Genomic DNA, 22,031 nt, shown 5'->3' with positions numbered 1-22,031 from the left:
TGTTTGGTGCACACACAATCTGCATTACTTGGCCGGGCGCGGTGGCTCAGGCCTGTAATCCCAGCACTTTGGGAGGCCAAGGTGGGCGGAACAGTTGAGGCCAGGAGTTCAAGACCAGTCTGGCCAACACAGTGAAACCCTGTCTCTACTAAAAATGGAAAAAATTAGCTGGGTGTGGTGGCAGGCGCCTGTAATCCCAGCTATTTGGGATTAAAGGTAGAAGAGAGTTCAATACATATGAACATTTTTCAATCAAAAAGCTTGTTTCAGTTTTTCAAGGAGTAAATATCAGTTTTCTAAAAAATTAACATGCAATTTTTCACTTCCTGAAAATGTTGGATGACAGAGGTAAATTATGATGTGACAATTGTCACCATGAAAATAAGAAAATTTTTTAACAATTTAAATAGATGAAACTTTGTAAGCTTGGACAACACCAGATTGCCTTATCTTATTCTCTCCTGCAGGTCTGAGGTCAGATTATAAATTTAATGAGTTCTAGAAACCTAGTGGTATGAAATATGAAAAAGACACCATAACGCTGTATTCTGTAATTTGTGCATGAGCAAATCTTTGGCAAGAAAAGTGCACACACACACGCACACACACACGCACACACTGCAAATGCTGTGTGCTGAAGTTGGAAGAGCTGAGCTGGAAGTCTGGTTGCTAAGTCTCCTGCTCGAAGTCTATGCTGCATACAAAGCAGGATGTCTGCAAAGCACAAGCCAACCACCTCACGCAGAGCCTCTCAAGGTAAATGCAAAGGTGACTCAAAAATGTGTAAGTCTACCCCTCAGGGATTGTAGTTAAATCCTTTCACTTTCTGTCAGCTTGAGTCACCACTAACCTTCTTATTAGGGGCACTTTATGCTTTGTTTTTAAGACCATCACTCAGGAACAAGTGTCTGCAAATCAAGGCCTTTGTTCTCAAAGTAACCTTTACAACCTTCTTGTGCCCAGGAGGCTGTTCTTGCCCATACTAAAACCTGGATTCCTACAGCTGCACAGGTGGTGGTGGGATAACCATCAGCGTGGAAACCATAACTTTGAATTTCCTGACTCAGCCATAAAACCTGAAATCACATTTCATTAACACTGATTGCCTACTCAGAGGAAACATGAAAGGGGCTATGAATCTCTGACGGAGATTTAAGAGCAAGGTTTAACGGTTGATTTCTTCAATTACTCCAGAAACAAAGTCTTGTTTTCACGTATCTGGGAAGGACCAGCTGACTTCTGAGAGGGATGCTTTATTCTCGGCAGTAACAGGCTTCTCTGCATTTGGTACATTATCCAAAGTTGACCCCTAACAGGTGTTTAAGTGAATAGGTATTTGTTTAAACTCAACTCTTCTAGGGCAAAGAGGCGTCCAACTGAAGTTCTTCAAGCAATGGGAAGTCATCTTAAGGAACAGTGCTTGCAGCACAGTGGTCCTGGAGTCTCACTCCTGCCCTTGTGGTGCCTCCTGCTAGTATCTCTCCCAGTCCCTGTGCTGCTGGGACGAGGAGGAAGGACACAAGCTTGGTCTGACAGTCTTCCTTCATGGAGCCCTCATGGTCACAATGCCTGCATTTCACCCTTGACTCAGTTCCCACCACTCATTCATTCTCCTGCAACTTCCCAGCCTCCTGAGAATAAAAAGTTCCCTAGCTCATCTCATACTTTCTGCCACATAAGATACAGCCAGGGTACCAAGTATGGTAGTTCCTCTTGGAAGAGGCAGGGGGGGTGTCTAGTGGAGACTGGGTAATGGCCAACTGCTCCGTAAGTCTAGGGAGAAATGCAGGGCCATCCAGAAACACTAGGGCATGAGTTTCGTTAGATCCTACCTAAACAGAGTCCCAAAATTCTGCTGCCTAAATTTTCAACAACTTAACTACTTCGTAAGTACCTTCGTGTGTGTATTTTGCTAGACCCAAGTCAAATATGACATTTATGTGAGTTTAAATCTTCTTCCAAAATAACCTTCCCAATGTTCTCATCACCCCGCAGGGTGAAGTTAATGGGCTCCCTGCAGCAGATGCCAAGGGTCGCGCATACAGGGGACATCTACTCACACGCGAGTGGGTATCTGCATTGTACGTACCACATTCAGTCCACAGTGGGAACACACAGCACAGGAACAAAGAAGACAATTTGTGATTGATTTCAAGAGTTGTCAAAAGGTTCTGTGATGCTGAAACCAGAAGCCAGTTAATTTGTGTGAAACTGAGAGACAAAGAGCAATGAAGTGTCTTGAATCCTTCATTTCGTGTTCCAACCTGCCATGCTGGACAGACAGTACAGAATTCTGGACCACAAGTCAGGAGCCTTGAGCTTGTACCCCCGGGAGATAACGGATTTGGGTAAACACCTTTCTCCTCCGATCCTTGGTGCTCTTGTGTGTAAATTCAGGATTCTAGCGTCCACCCTGGCTAGGCCTGCAGTGAGATCAAATGGGACAACTTTCATGAAAACACTTGTGCTCATCATTTTCCTCTGGACTAAAGGCAACCCTGTGGGAACTCTCTGCAGGCCAAATATCTGAAGTCTTAGCCGAGAATTTTCTTTCCCTGAGGACAGGTAAACTAGAGTCTCCTGTGAATTCCTTTCTGGGACCCACAAGATTCTATCACAGGCTGCCAAAAATGCAAACTAAACTGCTTGCAAGGTAAGAGTTCTATCTTGATAGCATTACTCTTAAAATGTTCTAATACATGAGAGGTTTTCTAATATGCTCAGGTCATCAAAAATAAGCCATTTTCATTGTTAGTTCTGAATGTAAGTTTCAACCAAAAGGCAGATAAATGCAATTAGCTCAAAAGAACAGGGGTCGTTATGAGCTGCTGCCACAGTGAGAAACTGTTGGGCGCAGGACCTTGGAGCTTGTTGAATGCCTCTTTGCAAGTTGCAGCAGCTGGTGGTTTTGGATATGAGCATCCAAGAATATCAAATAAATAATTTTTTTGGCACTGACATCTTCATAATTTTGTAATTGCTTACTCAACACTGGACACGGAATCTCAGAACAAATTTCCATAAAACTGTCAAAAATATCAATCAACAAATACCTTAAGTTGGACACTTTGCTTCTAGGACAGCACAACTGTAAAACTTTCCAGATTGAGGCATGTCTAGAAGTAGATAAGGTGACAGTTGAGGATATTTATAAGGCTAGCATGCGCACAGCACCTCTATCCAGAATACTACTTCTGGCTGAAGAACATCAATTTCCCCTGCTTTTGGCTGCAGGAACCCAGAATTACATGGTTGTGTGTGATGGTTTGAAACCAAGTTTTTGGATATCCCAAGGCTGTGTAATTTCCAACCACTTGCAGGTATTCTGAGGCTGCAGCTAAGGTTCCAACATACACTGTTTTAGGACAAAGCTGGATCTCTTGCACCTCAGACTATGAAGCCATATTGCTAAAGAGTGGCCCAAAGCGAGGTGTGTATCCATAAATACTCTAAGGACTTAGGTTCTGTCACTCTCCATTTGACCCGCCAATCTTAGGAAGGTCATGATGCTTTCCTTACTCTGGGTTTCCTTGTAGTGTCCTGAGAGTTCTGCTGTCTTCTCTCATTGAAACTAAGCTTTCCCTGGTTCAGGGAGATTCCCATCTTTGTTCTTCTTCAGACTCTGCAAGACTACATTTGAAGCAAAAACTATGGTAACCTAAAAACCAAGTTTAAGCAATTACTTTTAACATTATAATTACAACATCAAGAACATCAAGACTGTGCACATCAAGCCAGGGCTGAGCTTTATATATAGACCTAAAAATTTAATTTGGTAATACATTAGCAGTGAAAGGAAATAGATGCCCACTTGTCTAAAAAAGTTAAATCTATGCATTCATCTCAGTTTTTTATTCCATTCAACAGCCAATGTTTTGGATTTCTCTAAAGATAACTAAAGGCATCACAGACTTCACCCATCAGATACCCAAAAGGAATTCCAACCCCTTGAGACAGGCACGTTCCACCTTCTAGAGGTGCACTGTGCATGTGTCATACTTTTGTGCCAAAGCTATTTTACTCCAAAGCTCTCTCATCTTTTAAACATTTTTAATAACGTTACACAAGAATTAATGGAGGAATACTTTAAAAGTGGGAAGAACTTACATTTCTATGCTCACTACCCTCCTAATCTGCCCAATTCAGCAAAGATTACTACTATATATATATGCTACTACTATATATAGCTGGGCACTAGAGGAGAAAGTTCACACAATCCCTGCTGTCGGGAAGGGGATGCAGTGTCTCATGTGGGGAGGGGAATCCAAGCTCTCGGAGGCCAGGTGATGCTGCCGTCCAGACCCTGGGATTGCCACTCTATGAGGGATCACCAGCTTTTCCTCTCCAAAGCCACCCAGAGCTCAGATGTTATTAGGACAATGTGTGGTCCACTGTGTCGGTCCACATGGACAACTCTGCTCTGTGCCTTACCTAGATAATCACCTCCCTCTTACTCCAGACGCCCCCAGTCTTCCAGTGTGTACAGATATACTCGATGCATTAGTACCTTCCTCAGACTTGCTTTTCCCTTAGGGTTTCCAAATCTTTGGACCATATAGGTACACAAGCTGTGAAAAACCTGAGATAATGGGTAGGTGGCTAATATTGTATGTATATATTATATATACGTATATATATAAAATATGTAATATAAGCCAGTACAGTGCTCTGTACATAGCAGATATTGAAGATTATTCCTTCCCAGTCCAACATAAACTCCATCATCCTGTCTAGGGACACATCTTTGAAGATGATCACTTACCCCCATGTTTTTTATGGTTTTTAATTTTTCAGCCAGCCTTCAATGACTTGTGTGTCATCATTTGATGTAACAACGCACATGGTATCACAATGGAAGTGCGGCTTCCAGTCCAACTGATGAATACTGTACTTAACTCAGCAACCGAAGTATCTCTTATAGATGATCCCTCCAGACTACTGTGGGGCTTCCAATCCTCCTACTTAGTAGAACCTTAAAATGTCGGATTTTTGAGTCCCAGCACTTTAGAATTCTTAATTTAAACTCCTCTTTATACTGAATCTTCATACACCCAACCAGTAGCAGCCCAAGAAGCCTGGTGTAAAGACCTCAGTGTGTTATGCTAGAAATGCTTCCCAAATCCACATGGCTGGCAATGGTTTACATTGGCTAACTTAAAGCCCGTGTTGATGTGTCTAGTCCAATACGGTAGCCATTAGCCACATGTGGCTACTTGACACTTGAAATGTAGTTTGTGTGACTGGTAAATTAGATTTCTAGTTTTATTTAACTTTAATAAATTTAAAGAGCCACAAATGCCTAGGGTAACCATATTGAACAGCATAGCTCTAAAGCATCAAGGGTTTGAGGGACATGATAACCTTTTGGTAAGCAGTATTTTTATAAATCAAAGAGGTACTCAATAAATATTTAGCACCAACTGGTCACTGTTAACTTCTATCACCTACCTTTTCTAGCTCCTCTCAAGTAAAGACAAAACCAAAACAAAAACAGCAACAGTGAAAAAAACCCACATTACTTTAACAACAAAAAAAACCACTTTACTTTAACAACAATCTCCCTTGAAAAAACTAGGCATTTTTAATATATAGGAGTGGCACAGCCAAAGATAAAAAATAAACTAATGTCATCAAGACAAAGAATTAGAAAAATAAGCATACTAGAAGTTATTTATGTTTAATGCTTAAAAGTCTGAATTCACAAACAATCTACCATTATAGAAGTACTGGTGGTCAATACAATGCATTAGAACTATGTACAACGCACAGTTTAGTATCAAAATCTTTCTACACTGTAGAGTTTTACGAAACTGTTAATGACATCAAACACTAAGCACTTAAGACACCATTTTTTTTTTTCTGCTACCACATTAGGAACGTCAATGGACAGTCCATTTCAACTTGCAGCATCCATCCATTTCTAGTATGAAATTAAGTAATTTTCTACTTATACAATAAAGTATATCTACACGGTTCTTTTGATTTTGATCCATAGCAGCAAAGGCACTGTACATCAGCAGATCCACAGACTTAAAAGATTTTTAAAGCATTCAAACAAAAAATAATAAAAAAAGAAGTCACATATTATAGTTTAACAGCAACAACAACAACATAAAAGATAACACAATGTTTCTGGCACAATGGCACAGCCTGTGTCCATTTCAGGGACATCCAACTAAGACATGGAAAGAACCGGAGGTAAAGAAAGCAAGTCCTCATCCCAGGAGAGAGTCCATTCTTTGTGTTTTTCAGAGGGAGGTCTCTGCAAACCCTCCTCTGCTGTCCTTGTTTTGTAAAAGACTTAACTTGCACAGCAGTGGGAGTCCTCCCCATAACTGTGCAGCTCCCAAAGAGCATGCCACAAAATAACCCATAATTTCTCATAACAACAAAACTGACTAAAGATATATATATCTCCTTTTGCAAAGAAATGTGGCAAAAATATCCAGAAGGGAGTAAGTTCTCTCTTTGAGGCCAAATTTAATTTGTTCATCTGCCTATAATACAACAAAAAAAGGGAACTAAAAACATATTACAAAGACACTTGTCAACGAGTCAAAAAAAGAAAAAAAGTCCAATTACTTTTATCGAATATAATCTAAAGCTATAGATATATTGGTTAACGTTGTCTAAATAGATCCAAATGAGTATGAGTTGGCCTGTTGTGTTCTAATTGTTCAGCCAAATTTCCAAAAGTCTTTAAAAGATGTAGAAAACAAAAACAAAAAAAACCTAATAACAACACAGCAACATATTGCTTCCATGTGTAATTATACATTTCACATCTCTATACAGTCATCAGTCTACACTTAGTGACATTTTAAATCAATTATTTTAAACCTTCCTTTCCCCTCCTTTGCCAAAAAAAGGGGGGGAGGGGTATCAAATACAACGCACCTTCATTATCAATGCAGGAGCAGACAGCTTTATTTAGTCAGTCATTGTTAGAAAGCCTTCTTTAAACAAAATAAATATATTACAGATATAATACATAATTAAAGATTCTTTTCACTGTTAAGTATGCTTATTCCATGTTCTTCCAAGTAGACAGCTGAAGATTTGGTATCACAGGTTTTTAATGACTATTCACAATTCAATAGCAAGTGGGAAGTGAGGTTAAGAAAGGGGATTAAACTCCACAACTGCAATGAGTATCTGAAATCCTTGGTTTTAGATGCGGGGATGGGGGTGAACAAAAAGGATGACAGAGCAAAGTGCTACCAGGAGGAGAAGTCCAGTCTGCATGAAGATTTGTCTTTAATAAATAACTTCATAAACTGTGGCCTTCTTATCCCCAGAGCCAGTGACAATGTATTTGTCGTCCACGGAGATGTCACAGCTAAGCACCGATGAGGATTCTTTGGACTAGGAAAGAAACATATAATCAAAAATGTTAAATACTGAAAGAAAATCCCATGAGTATGGAGGACTTAGAGCAAATGCAAATGTAATGTGCTCCTTGACCAAACAGAAAGCCCAGTCAAGGAAAGGTGAAAGGTGGTCATGGACAGTACTGCTGCTTTTTTTTTTTTTTTTTTTTTTTTTTTTTTTTAATAAGACAGGGTCTCCCTCAGTCACTCAGGCTGCAGTGCAGTGGTGTGACCATGGCTCACTGTAGCCTCGACCTTCTGAGCTCAAGCAATCCTTCCACCTCAGTCTCCTGAGATGCTGGGACTACGACACTGATGTGTCCAATCACACCTAATTTTCAAACTTTTTTTGTAGAGAGAGGGTCTCACTAAGTTGCCCAGGCTGGTCTCGAACTCCTGGGCTCAAGAGATCCTCTTGCCTTGGCCTCCCAAATTATGCCTGAGATTACAGGCATGAGCCACCACGTGGCACTTTCTTAAAATGGCAGAGGTGGATCGGATCCACCCTTGGCGACACCTCACCAGGTCAGTCAGGAGGCTTCTGTCCTGGGGACATCAGCTAGGCAGGCAAGCCAATGGCATGAGCACCTCTGCTGGCAAAGCAAGACCTTATTTCAAACCCTATTCTACCATTAAGACGGGGTGTTACTGGTATGAAAAACCCTCAACTTCAAACAGATGGCTTGGAGTCAGGTTGAGCTGTGGAACACGGCACAGGTCACTTAACCTGTCTGCACCTCAGTTTCCTTACAATAGCAAACAGGTAGACATTTTACCTGTCTACCACCTCAGAGGGATGCAGCAGAGTTCAGTGAGATCAGATATGAGAAATGGCACTGAGAATACATTAAAAAAAAAAAAAGAATGTAAAAATATTCCTAGTAAAAAGCCTAATGTTCCCACTGTAAAAATGTGACACAAATTTGCGAGAGGGGAGAGGTTCAACAGTTAAAAACATACCATAGAATTTTGTATACCATATTCAACTGTAGTATGAAGGATTCAATGTTAACTTTTAACTAAACTGTGCTCATTTAAAATGAAAACAACACAGGATTTTAACCAGGACTCTGAATACTTTAAACACTTAAAGACATAGTACTTATGCTTACTATAAAAAATGTACTACTCTTTTTTTAAAGTGCAGTTGGGACTATCTAACAAGTGATAATCCATGTTATGAAAAATGCTCTATTAAATTCTAAGCTTCATGACTGCAACAATTGGCGTTTTTTGTCCTACTGATTATCTTGCATACTATTTTGGATTCGATGGAATTAATCTACTTTATGATAATACCACTTGGTCAAGAAAACTGCAAGTCTATTATATTGCTTGTAAAAAAGAACACTAGGAAATAACATCCTAAATATAGAAGGTTAATAAAGGCAAGTCTTTCACCTTGCCTATGAAATTCTCACATACCAGTAGGAGAGAGGAGGAGAGCGTGTGTGTGCACGCGTGCATATATGTGTACTATGTCTACAATTTGGTCCTTCTACAAATAATTTCACAAGCTATACAAAGTTCCACTGAGTCAATAGGGAAAATAAAAGTTTATAAAACTGATTTTTATCAAACTTTTCCATAACACTCTTCTTTGGAAAAAATAAAATAAAAAAACTACTACTACTAACAAGAGTGTATTTAAGCAAAATGCTCAAGTTTTAAAATTAAAAATTACAAAAGACATACATGTATAAAATTCTCAGAAGACATAAAACCTCTACTCCAAAAAGGGATTGATGATGAAGCAACAGTGAGCACTGAATCAGGCACAGCACTGGCTCTGAGCTCAGAACACTGGGGACTATCCCCAGCTCCACGGCTTTGCTGTGACACTTAACCTCTCCTTGGACACAGTTTCCTTCTCTGTACAATGTGCATAATACTAGCTCTGACCTCCCAGGACACTTCTGCACATTATTAATCTGAGAGAATGCACAGAGAGTTTGATTAAACAAACATAAGTGGTAGTTAACAAGTTCCATGTTACCTGGAATATACTGGCCCCATAAGGTGTTCTCCAGGCATTCAGAAGGTTGTCCTTTCCAGTGCTTACAAACCATTTGCCTATAGGTAAAGGGTTTTGAAAAAGGCAATGTTTGTGTTACTCTGTCAGACACCAAGATTTGCTTTATAGAACACCAAACTATTAACAGAAAACTCATCCATTTGTAAAAAATAACTTTCACTTCAAAAATAAAGCCTATCTTTCTGGATTTAATCGAGTCACTAATCCTTAAGGTTAAAGTGGATTAATGCCAGAAAATTACATGGTGTTGGGGAAGCAGGCATGTATCAGGAAGTAATAGAATTCTGAAGAGGGGCATGGTAATGAACTCAAGGATTCGACTTGGAAATAAAAACACAGGAAGGGGGAAGGAGCAATTCTGGTTGACAGAAAATGGACAAAAGGTGCTTGCTTACCACAATGGGCAAACTTGAGCGACAGCACACAGCTCTCATGAAGATGTAGTTGGTATTTGTCTGGCTTGGTGACATGCAAAACTTCCACATTGCTGTTCTCCATCCCCACTGCAAGCCACTCTCCAGTTGGGCAGTAGCCCAGAGAAAAGATCTAGAATTAAAACAGGTGATGGTGACAGTGGCCACAGTGGACACGCTTCTTTTATCTGGGAGGTACTATCTCTTCTGTAGATACTACTTAAATTATGAAGAAAATCAAGATAATTTGAATTGTACAGGGGAGAACCAAAGTCAAATGGGCGATTTCAAAGTAATGAGACTTCAAAGTGGTTAATCCAGAGTCAAAAGTGACATCATCACACGGTAAGTGAACTGCCTCTTCTTTCAGTAGGTGATATGTTTCATAAAACCGTATCATTTTTGTTTTTTTTTGTTTTTCAGACAGAGTCTTGCTCTGTCGCCAGGCTGCAGTGCAGTGGCAAAATCTCAGCTCAGTGCAACCACTGCCTCCCGCATTCAAGCGATTCTCCTGCCACAGCCTCCTAAGTAGCTGGGACTACAGGCACATGCCACCATGCCCAGCTAATTTTTGTACTTTTAGTAGAGATGGGGTTTCACCATGTTGGCCAGGATGGTCTCGATTCCCTGACCTGGTGATCCGCCCACCTCAGCCTAAAACCGTATCTTTAAAATGCCTCAGCCACGGATCATACCTGGGAGGTGAAGTCGTGCTGCTGCAGCTGCCGCCCCTCGCGCAGGTCCCAGGACCTGACCGTGTTGTCCAAACCACCTGTCCAGAGCTTGGTGCCATCATTAGAAATGTCAATACAGCTGGCTCCATCTGTGTGGCCCTGGAATTGCCTGAAAATGTCAAAATGGAGGGAAAGCCCTTGAAAAGTTAGCTTTTAGTTAAAATCAATTTAGAATTCCTTGATGATTCAATTTCAATGCAGGCCTTATTTGTAGATTTCATTTTGGTTTATTATGGTTTCTAATTATTCAAAGTAATAACAAAGCATATACAAAGAGATGCCACATGTCCTGTACTTTTTGCTTGGTTTTGAATACTTAGGAATTCCTCAAATTACTTTTTCATGAAAACATGACTGATATTACTAATGGGAAAAAAATCTCTGAAATTAACAAAAGAAAACACGCCTACACATATATGCACTAACTAAAGATATATTCTGAGACCTATTCTATTACTGTGGTATGAGGGAGAGAGAATTTAATTTTCCCTTTAAAGAAGGACTGGGGATGGCACAGGGAGCGACAGGACCAGTCCTGCCAGTGAGCAGCAATGTGTCTGTGGGTGGCTGTGCAAGACGGAAGGCGAGGCTCTCAAGTAAGGCACCTGGAAAGACACTCAGTGTGAACTACTGGCCCAGGAATCACTCATGGCAAAACGTACCAAGGTCACCAGGAGAAAACAGGGTTAGAAGCAGCTTCTCATAAGAGGCTGCCTGATAAGCAATGAAAGTGATGATTTGTTTTGGGATCTATAGGTTTCAGTACTTTGAAATAACAGATAGTAAAGCCTTCTTCTTTTACACACCTGACTTGTAGCTACCTCTGGTTACAACCTTTTCATACCTGTAGCTGATCATTCTACTTGCTTGCTAATCTCTTAGGGTATTGACACCTAGAAAATCATTTCAGAGCTTTTCCCATCTACCAACACCAATCTTTTATAATCTCATTTGTAAAGTTATATCTATCCAACCTCAAAGGTGGGACAACAGATAATCTAGACCATTTCAGAGTGAGTTGCACCCAATACAGTGCATAGGCCCATGGGAGTTGCTAAATATCTGCTGAAGGAATGAACCTGTTAGATGTGTATGGCACTCAAGACAGTACCATACACTGTGAATCTTCTCAGTGAGGCTCTATCAACAATAATCGTTTGTTAGCAAGCACAGATGGCAAATTACAGATGTCCATGGAGCTCATGGGGTCATGGAAACTTTATGTACATTAATTATGTCAAATTGACCTCATTTTATTAAAACAAATTGGCGATGCTTTAGTATAAGTCAAGGAAGGAAAAAAGACCTCATTTTATGAAGTTCAAGTACTACAGAAAACAAGATTTTCACACTGATAATTTATTTTTAACATCTTAAAATGGACCTGTTCTGAACAATTTTTAGTAAGATAATTATATCACTTTACACACACACACACACACACACACACACACACACACACACACACACACCCATACCTATATACACAGCACTTTGGCAAAATATGGTAAAATCGGCTCCTCCTCACAACCTGGTAACAGATCCTGCTAACCTACCTCACCAAGGTCTGGTTGTGCAGATCCCACACAGCGATGTTGCCGTCGCTGCAGCATGAGAAGCAGACCTTGGAATCGGGGCTGATGGCCAGGGCATAGCAGGCGGGGGCCGAGGATGTCAGCTCTGCCTTGATGCGTGGGGTTGGAGCCGCCAGGTCCCAAATGGACAAAGTACTGGCTTCCCCTCCAACAATTAGGGTGCGACCATCAGGGAGCAATCTGCAGGAACGGATGTAGTTATCCCTGTTCTGTAGAGACAAAAACCATCAAGAGATTACTCATGAGGAAAGGAAAACAGCATTAACATGAGAGCAGAAATCCATAAAAGTATTGTGTTCCCTCCTGGTTTAATGAGCCGTTTATACTTATGACAATGATAAAGTGGATTAATGCTAGAAAATTACATGAAATTAGGGAAGTACTTAAAGTTGATCTACAAAATGTAGTACTGAGATATTTAATCTTAATTAGCATCAAAATGCAAAGCTCTAGACCCACTCCCACCACCACCAAATTAACCAACTGCTTGCATCATTTGCACACACAGATACACACGTACACTAATGCAGGAGCTCTCACAGTCTTGGAGTATCCAAACTTGGAACCTTGGTAGACTCAGGCTCAGTTCTGCTGTTGAAAGGTCCTGCTACTGATGTCAAGAAAGTTTCAGGGGGTAGATCCCTGGCAGTCTGTTCCTTTTGCCTGGGCCTGCATTACGTGACTAAAGGGCATCATGCATTTGATGAAAGCTGCACCAGAGGCAAGACTTGATCATGGAGTGTTAAGTTACAGAAAAAAAAAGTTCCTCCTAGCTCATGAGGTTACGGGAATCTTATGTATATTTAATTATGTTCAACTGATGTAGCCTCATGCTATAGCAAAAATTCTACTAAACTGACATTTCCTAAGGAACTCAAGGGAAAAGGCCAATGAAGCAGCTGAGGGGCTATCTAGTATTTGCCACATGAGGCAGTAAGTTACTCTTTACATGTGACAGATGATATTTAGGTGCACACTCATAGTCACTGTATGGGCTCTTAGTTTGCTTAACCATCAGAGAGGAAAACAAGCGGTTTGCCTTTTCCCATGGGAGGCAGAGTTAATGAAATCAGTATGGTGCACATGCCACACATGAAGAACTAGATCACTGTGTGTCTAGGAAGCAAAAGACACACCTCCAAGTGAAAGATCGCAGTCCCCTGAAGAGCAACTATCCACCTGGGATCAATACTGTGTGGTGTTGCTCATACATACAGTTCTCTCATCAGCCCCTCCTGTTTTCTGAATGAAAGTCTAAGTCTTGTTCATCCATGTTCACTCACCAGACAGTCGAGCTGGGAGACAGGACTCTTATTGCCTGGGTGGCTGATGTCCCAGACCTTGACGCAGCCCTTCCCACCCGTGTACACGTGTCTCGTGGGGTTGCTGATGGTCACCGCGCACACCACCTCCCCGTGGTTGAGGGTGTTGATCTGGCGAGCATGCCGGGGGATTCCAGGTCCGATGAGGGCGTCGGGTGGAAAAGGGACAGGCTGCATCTGACCATCTGCGCTAACATGGAAGGAGTATGCTCTAAGGCAATGGAGAGGAAAAAAGAAAGAGGGGAATGTAAAAAAATGTCACTTAACTGTTCAGTGTAATGAGATGAGAAATAAAACACCTTCAGTGCCACTTGTGATTTACGAACAAATCGAATTTGTCCATACAGTGTAAAGAACATAATTTCCAGAATCATACAGCTAGGCTGCTACAGGGCCAGATCTCAGGCTGACTCTGTACAAGCTGCTGTGGGACATCAGTAGTTACTTAGAATCTCTAAACTAGAACAGCAGTTCTAGTCTCTAAAATGAAGAGAACACTACCTATACCTCACAGAATTAAATGAGATAACCACCGTCAAGTGCAGTAGCCACCTTTCAGGGATGCCCTATAAACCTGCATTGCCTTCTCCTTTGGATGAATCAGAGGCCTGTGATGAGACCTCGCCTATAGATCAATTCATTCCCGGCAAGGGACTTACTAAGGGAGATGAGTAGGCCAAAATCAGGAAGCTTTAAGGAGTTAAGAGCCTCTAGGCTTAGACGTTGAAATGACAGATGTGCCAAAAAAAAAAAGATAAAGCCCTATTTTAAAACCTTGATCAGACTTGACAATCACAAATCCTAGTCAATCCAAATGGAATGAGAACCTAAAAAGGCATCCTGACAGCCCCAAAGGCCTACCTGTGAGTATCTCTTGGCAGTTCCATCTCCAGTTCATTTCCAGGGAAAGCCCTCAGGTGGTAAAAGCATTTGGTCCTAAAATGCAACTTAAGTAAGAGCGTCTCCCCCAACAGACTCATTTTTATTTTTAGGGCACTGAAGTCAGGAAGGGACGAGTGAGGCTGTTGTGACGCATGTTAGGTTTCTGGAAGCAGAAGACGCCAGTGGCAGGCAGGAGGCAGCTGGGCCTATCTTGGGGACTATCATAGGCAACAGCCCATTTTGGAAAAGATGCTACTCTACTTGGGCACGGAGCTTGGGAATCTGCTCTGCTTACAGAAAATAGTTTACAAAAGACATACCAAGGGAAAGCATTGTGGGTGCGTAAAGGACAGGAAGCTGGACCAAACTGCGGAAGTTGTAGAATTAAATTAAAACAGTTTATCGTTCCTTAATGCAAAAATTTACAGGCTGGCCATGTTCATCAAAATTCAGTCCATTATTGAATGGTCCTCAACTACCTGAATGCTCCCAGAAAAAATGACGCATGCATTGTGGCTGTGGAAGATGAGGGCACTAGACAGTGGCGGGCTTTTACTTCCTCCACAGACTACAGAGCGTTGTAGAAGAACATAGTATGTGAGACTTGCTGGAGGGGAAGGAGGTGGGAAGCTAGGAAGCCAATGGACAGAAGACATTTCTTGCATCAAATCAACAGGACTTGGAGATACACTGGATGTGTGACCTGAGAGAGAGATGCTGAAGAGGACCCTAGGGCTAAGAACCTGGGTGACTAGGTAGACTGCATTACCTAGTAAAGATGACAGGAAAGCATAACTCAAGGGTACACCTATGGGGAGGTGAAGGAATTGGTTTTCTTGAACTTCAGGGCAGAAATCCAAACAGCTGTGATTCAGGAGAGAGGTCAGGTTAGATATCATCCATAAAGAAGTGATGGCTGAAGCTAAGGGGACGGAAAGAAGAATCCCAGAGCAGATTATGCAGTGAAAAGCAGACCAGATACAGAATCCCAAAGAATGTGGACATTTAAGGAATCTCCGGCCAGAGTAGTTATGGAAGTAGATTATTAGCAGAGATAATAAAATAGAAAGGGGGAGAAGATGTTCAATCACATGACAATTTACTAAGATTCATTCACTTAACACATATTTCTTGAGTATGCCAGTGTGCCAAGCATTATGGTAAGAATGGAATAAGAAAGAAATGCACACACCTTGTTCTCCTGAAATTACAGCCTGAGGGGCACATTCATTAGTGAGATATGCACATAAGTAACTATCAAAATGTCAGATGGTCAGTGCAGTGAACAATGCATGGTAGTCTAGGAATTTAACAGAGTGAAAAGGACAGAGAAAATGGCAATAGGGCTGCAACATAAAGAATGGGTACGAATTGTCTGAAGACAGTATGATGATTAGGAATATGGCAAATTCGAAGGCCAGAGCAAGAAAGCGTGCTAATTATTCATTTATTCAGCAAATACTTCCTAAATGCCTCGTATGTTCCAGTTACCATCAGGTGCTGGGGAATCAGGTGAACAATACTGACAAAGTCCCTATCCTTCCACTAGTCTACATCCTAGAGAGGAAAACAGGTAACAGATAAACATAAATACCTGATAAACACCTCAGACAGTGGAAAATACCATTAAATATACACACACATTTTCAGATAAAAGAGAGTAGGGGAGCACACAGTGGCAGTCAGGTGGCCCTCTCTGAAGAGGCAGCATATGCGCGGAGAGCTGAAGGAATGACACAGGCCTTACAAATAAGTAATGGGGAACGTGCCAGGCAGAGGGAACAACAAATGCAAAGGCCTTGAGACCAGAACGAAGCAAGGAGGCCAGAGTGCATTCGGTGGAGAGCATATAGGATATAAGAGTGAAGGGACAGGCAAGGCCAAACTAAAAAGGGCCATATAGGCTGTGATGAGTACAGATATGATTCTGGAGACTTGTGCAAAAAAAGTGACATGATTCAGTTAACGTCTTCAAATGATCTTCTGATTGCTGGGTGAAGAATGGAGTGTAGGTGGCAAAACGAAAGACAACTAGTCTGGGGACTACACAGTAATCTAGAGGAGAAGCAGTGGCTAGAGCCTGGGAGATAGTGGTAAGTTGGAAATAGAACGTGGAGCACTCTGGCTGACTGGAGCCACAGTAGGTTGTACTGGATGGGACGCTTAGAATCTGGAGGTGACACAGGGGTGATGATAAGCTCTTCTTTGTGAACCTGTAAATACAGGTAACTGAAGGTGAGGAGGGCAGATGTTCACTAGAGATGAGGGGGTCCAAGACCATGATGAAGATACTGGGGGGTTGTCTTTGTAGATACCAGAGTCAACCAGGATTATGGCAGCCTCTGGGTAGTGGAAGACTCTCAGCCATGTATCAAGTCTTTAATACACTGGGGAAATACTCCCAACAAGGTGGAAGAGGGGGTAGTCCAATGGCACGAGCCTGAAAGGAGCAAGGTTTTCACCAACAGGTAGAAAAGTTCTGTTCATGGAGAGGCTGGAGAAGGGGTGGCAACCACAGCTGTTATTAACCCCACCGCTGGTGCTGAGGTCAGTGAATGAAATGGAAAGGTCACCCTGTATAGGGCTGCAAGTGAAGGGATGATCTCAGGAGACGGCCAGATTTCAGTTCAGACAAGGAGAAGGTGGCAGTAACGCTTGTGAAAGGCTGAGGTTCTGAGGGATGATGGCCGAGAAAAAGGCTAATTGATTTAGCAATTAGGAGGTCATGAAGACTAAATCTTAAAGGAAGAGAAAGAAAGATTATTCCAAGTTTAGATGGTGTTATACATTCTTAATGATAATTTATTAGAAAAGCCATCTCATTCTCTAGTCTAGAATCACTAAATGGTTATTAAAGAGCACTGAGATTTCAAATAGTTAAGAAACCAGGCACACAATTTCCTTCAAGGCCTTCAACAGGACAGCCTTCACCTCAACAACAACCACTCTGTGAGCACCTACTATGTTCCTGGCAAGAGTCCTTTCAAAGAGTCCAAATGAATTCCAAGAGCCTGCTTTCATTAATGACATTAATGTGGCCCTCTGTTTGCTATTAGTATACATAGAAGGCACTCAGAACTGGAAATAATAAAGCTCTAGTACATACTTATTATCAGATTTCGATAAACTCTTTGACTGTAACTAGCAAATACTCCTGGAAGGTATGAGGGAAGTCAACATTGCTAGGAATCAGAGAAACCGAGGCGCAAAGGGCTACTCTGTTTCTAACTAATTTAATGCACAATGTGTTAAGTACCTCCCATCCATATACTCTGACGCAAACGTCATGCTAAGGATACAAAACTAGGTAATGCACCTGGTCTTGCCCACAAGTGACTAACAATCTAGTTAGCATGATGAGAGAAAAGTACAGAAATGACAATATCAGGTCACATTCTAATGGAAAGTATTCTGAAGTGTTTTGAAAAGGAAAGAAAGTTTATGTTGGATGAGAGACAGACATGGTAATAGAGATGGGTTTTTAAAGAATGAAAAGATACCATCGAGTAAAGAGAAAGATGGAAAAAATATTCCAGATAGCAAGAATAGCAGAGAGCAAAAGTTCCAAAAGGATGAGGTAAAATGAGCTGGGAAATCCTTGAATTGGTTTTAATCCAGGAATTCATTCAATAATAACTACACAGTAGGTGGATGGAGGAACTGGCCAAGCATAGTCTGAAAAAACATACCAGATCTATATCTCTATATAATTAAAATCAATGTAATGCTATAAAAGGGAAGGACCAGAATGCCAGCCTGAGACCTTCCCAGAATTGACTGAAGAGATTTTTGAGGGATAAAGGGAGTGTGCCATTACTGGGCAAAGCTATTCATAAAATAAACTTGGTAGCAAGGAGTAGGATGGACAGGAGGAATTAAAAACAATTATTCCTGTTGGGCGCGGTAGCTCAGGCCTGTAATCCCAGCACTTTGGGAGGCCGAGGGGAATGGATCACTTGAGGTCAGGAGTTCGGAGACCAGTCAGTGAAACCTCATGTCTACTAAAAATACATAAAAATTAGCCAGGTGTGGTGGCGCATGTGCCTGTAATCCCAGCTACTTGGGAGGCCGAGGCATGTGAATCATTTGAACCCAGGAGGCAGAGGTTGCAGTGAGCTGAGATTGAGCCACTACACTCCAGCGTGGGTGACAGACCGAGACTCTCTCTCAAACAACAACAACAACAACAACAACAACAAACAACAACAATTATTCCAACAATTTAAGTAAGAGGTACTGGGGGTCCTGAACCAGGCAAGGGCAAGGATGACAAGTTAGAAGGTACAATGGATATAAAATCCTGTAGGACTAAATTGACGAGATCTGAGGAGGAGCTAGAGTAACTGAGTTTCTGAGCTCAGGAAAAAAGAAACATGGTACTTGTAGTTAACAAAAAAAGGGCAAACTGGGAAGAGGACCTAATTTACAAAAGTACTTTCTGAATATAATGAATTTGTGGTGCAAGTAACATACACCCAAGATCCCTAGCTAAGATGCCCAACAAATAACTAGAAATACAGGGCTGGAGGGAGAGGGTGCAGGGAGTCAGAGAAATAGAGTGACCTGACCTCCTCTCAACACGAACACACACACCACAGGTTAAGCTGCTACGAGCAGAGTGGCTCTCCAACAAACATGGCGATGAGAATAAGAGACAGTTGAAGAAAATGCTAGGCTTGGACTCTCTGACATAACTACACTTTAAACAATCCAGACACATGCAATTTGCTTTTTTAAAAACATGTGTGTCAAACTTGTTATATATGGATTATCATCTTGACAAAGACCCAGCATATTTAAAGAAGGTCACTGGCTTTCCCACCTTCCCCTCATTCTCCTCTCTGAGGCCCAGTTCTGTTATGCTGTGCTCATCTCTCACGCGCACAGTACCTTCTCCACATTTCCAATGTGTCACAAGATGGGCTTCGACCTTGAGGTCACAATGAGAGGTCTGGTTATTGTATTTTACATTGAAATACGATAGAAAATTCTGTTCTAAGTAGCATACAGACCAGTGAGTTAGCCAACAAATACTCGTTGAAGGTTTTTACTATGTATCAGGCATTATTCTCATTTGAAAATCTTGCTTTATAAAAATAAATCAATGCAAAAGAGTCAGATTTCTGAATTGTGAGCAGCCTATAATCCACTAACGTGAGATCTTTTATTTTTGCTGTGTTCACATGTCACATCTCATACAATTAGTACCGTGATGTTAATCAAATAGTTATACACTAGCCATAGAAGTCTCATTTGAGTAGCAGGTGAAGGAGAAGGGCCATTTTTGGCTTATGTTGAAATTAAACTATGCTGTTATTCCAACTACATATGAAGTAGAACCTCTGCTAATTCACCTGAGCAGACAAGAGGATTCAATGTGAATTATACAATAAACACCATTTTATTAATTTGGAACATGCATTTAATTATAATTTCTGATCATATCTAGCAATTCATTGTGTGAAATAATTAGAACAGAGACACATAACTTTTATAAGTCTTTCTGGAGAAAGGTAGTTACATTGTGGGTATGTATGGTGGAGGAAGACTTTAGGTGATTTTTTATTTTATTTTCTAGCACACTTAAAAAAGTTTTGTCTTGAAAAATATGCACAAGACAACATTGCACAATTCAGTATCTTATGATCTGGAGAGCCACATAACTGTTATATTCATTTCTGCTGTAAAAATCTATAATAAAAGTATATTATCTCTGTATGCATATAAGTGAATGTAACTTTATACGTCTTCATGCTCTGTTACATAAAGACACACCAATGACCCATCTTCTTGGGTCACTTCTGCCCCTAAAACACAATGTACCTCCTACTACATAAGTAGCTGAAAAATGAATAATATGCTGGGACAAAGCTGAAAGGGAAATAATGCTGGGGTTGACTAAACAGCCACCATGTAACAAATGTGGCACTGAATGAACACACAACATATTATCTTACTTCCTATCTTCACATCCTTCTTGTTGAGGAGGGGCCATCCCTGATTCATGAATGAGCTGATTGAAGCTCACAAAGAAATTGTGCATAAAGCCACTCTTCTCAGTGGTTCAACTGGCAGAGTCTAAATTCAAACTTGGATCTGTCACACTCCCAAAACCATACTCTGTTGACTGCACCACATGCTTTTTAGTAGTGTCATTTTCCTGGTAAAGTGTCATTTGCCAACTGCAGTAGATGTGACTCTGTCACTCTCATAAACAAAAATTCTCAACAATCCTCCAATCCATTAACCCACCCTAAAGGATCTTAAACATTTAAACATTTTATAACATCGAAAGTTAAAACTGATGAAGGGAAGTCAGCCCAAGACTCAGAAGCACCATCTGAGTCAGAGCAGCTGTGATTCCACAGTGGTTTAACTGGTCCAAATCCCTTAGCCAAGGTGTTTCCTTAAAGACACTTACACCCCTTGCCCCTCGAAGCAGCAGCTGAGGCAAGAAGCATCATCTCATTTGCTCTAGTGGTTATGCTGTAGCTCTGGGTACAACTGTTGGTTACCTAAGAAGTAACCAAAAAAAAGGGATAGTACTTCTTCCCTAAAGGAACCCTTCCACTTTCCCCACAAGTTCATATGGAACTTGTAGGTATCTGAGTCATTATTTGATTAATTGTATAACCTTGTTATTTAGCATTGCTTGAAATAGACCCAACTTTCACCTTCAAATACATCAAAGTTTCTTGGTCAATAAGACTTGTTAGTCAACAACTATTTGCAAAACACACACAGGTACACAGAATTTTATGGTAATTGATATTTATACCTTCAACTCTTGAGGAACTCTAATTTGTCTTTTCTCCCCTATTAATCAGCCAAATATTTACCAAGCAACTTGGCTGTGGAGCCAGCACTGTGCTTGATACAACAAAGGAAGGTTAGGATAGAGTCTGTAGAGAAGTATTAATATGCTACAAAAGGAAGAACTGAGATTTGGATTCCTCAGATGGAAAGTAAAGAAAGGGTCTAGGTTAGGCAACACTGAAGGGATGTGGGGAGAAGAGGGCACGCAATTAACACCAGGGTGAAAACTAAGTGCCCGAGTGTGTGGGAGTGAATAAACAAGCAATGGGAGGTCCGAGAAGAAAGAAATCAGCACATATCCATTCCCTGAATAAATCCATACCGTGAGCACCACTATGAACCAGGTACCATTCTAGGCAGTGAGACTGCTTCTATAACTGAATAGCAGAAAGTTCTGTTCTGTTTTCATGGAACTTATAGTCAAGAGGGAGAGGCAGATAATGGCTATAAAAAAGCATTAAAAAGGTAGTAGAAGAGGAAAGAATAGGGAGGAAGGGAAAGAGGGATAATAGGGTTGTCAGGGCAGAACGCTCTGACATAATGACATCTTAGATAACTAAATGAGACACTAAGCCACAGAAAGTTTTGCAGGAAGAAGGACAGTAAGGACAAAATACCTCAAGGCAGGCAAGCTACCAGGGAAGCCTCTGGGAGAAGGCGCCTTGAGCTGCTACTGAGGGTCAGGTCTGGATAGCCCTGGAGACTGGGGAGGCAGCACATACACGGCATGTGTAGTGACAGAGGGGATGCCCACAGAAAGAGTGATGAGAAAAATGCACACACACAGGTGACTAACAAGGCAAGGAGGATCTGCGGGGGAGGCTTCCCAAAGGAGAAGCGAGAGAAAGCAGCCAGCTGGGATTT

The 22,031-nt window shown here is 41.3% G+C and overlaps 1 protein-coding gene across 51 annotated transcripts in view, besides 1 other annotated feature; it reads right to left on the bottom strand.

Annotated features, from left to right (window-relative positions):
• Positions 651-1,152: an enhancer, noted in NCBI's record as "NANOG hESC enhancer chr9:82346165-82346666 (GRCh37/hg19 assembly coordinates)". NCBI's record gives its function as "activates a minimal SCP1, AML or CMV promoter by ChIP-STARR-seq in naive H9 embryonic stem cells {active_cell/tissue: H9 hESC(naive)}" and the evidence as "EXISTENCE:reporter gene assay evidence [ECO:0000049][PMID:30033119]".
• Positions 5,520-22,031, bottom strand: part of TLE4 (TLE family member 4, transcriptional corepressor) — a 154,918-nt gene continuing 138,406 nt past the window's right edge. For 28 of the 51 annotated variants that reach the window (NR_104239.2, NM_001282760.2, XM_006717264.2 and 25 more), the window contains 6 exons: positions 13,431-13,680; positions 12,109-12,356; positions 10,514-10,661; positions 9,801-9,951; positions 9,367-9,443; positions 5,520-7,365 (listed from right to left, as the gene is read on the bottom strand). Coding sequence is in view for 50 of the 51 variants with exons in the window: in NM_001282760.2 (NP_001269689.1) it covers positions 7,258-7,365; positions 9,367-9,443; positions 9,801-9,951; positions 10,514-10,661; positions 12,109-12,356; positions 13,431-13,680 (982 nt within the window). In the remaining variant the exon portion in view is untranslated. Of the gene's footprint in view, positions 7,366-9,366; positions 9,444-9,800; positions 9,952-10,513; positions 10,662-12,108; positions 12,357-12,677; positions 12,830-13,430; positions 13,681-14,330; positions 14,406-15,263; positions 17,090-22,031 lie in introns of those variants that run through there. The other 23 variants (XM_011518952.2, XM_011518958.2, XM_011518967.2 and 20 more) reach the window with 3 other exon arrangements.

The sequence above is a fragment of the Homo sapiens genome, chromosome 9 (assembly GCF_000001405.40).
Source record: "Homo sapiens chromosome 9, GRCh38.p14 Primary Assembly".
Lineage (NCBI taxonomy): Eukaryota > Metazoa > Chordata > Mammalia > Primates > Hominidae > Homo > Homo sapiens.
Note: the sequence above shows the minus strand (reverse complement) of the source record. Positions and strands in the feature narration are given on the sequence as shown.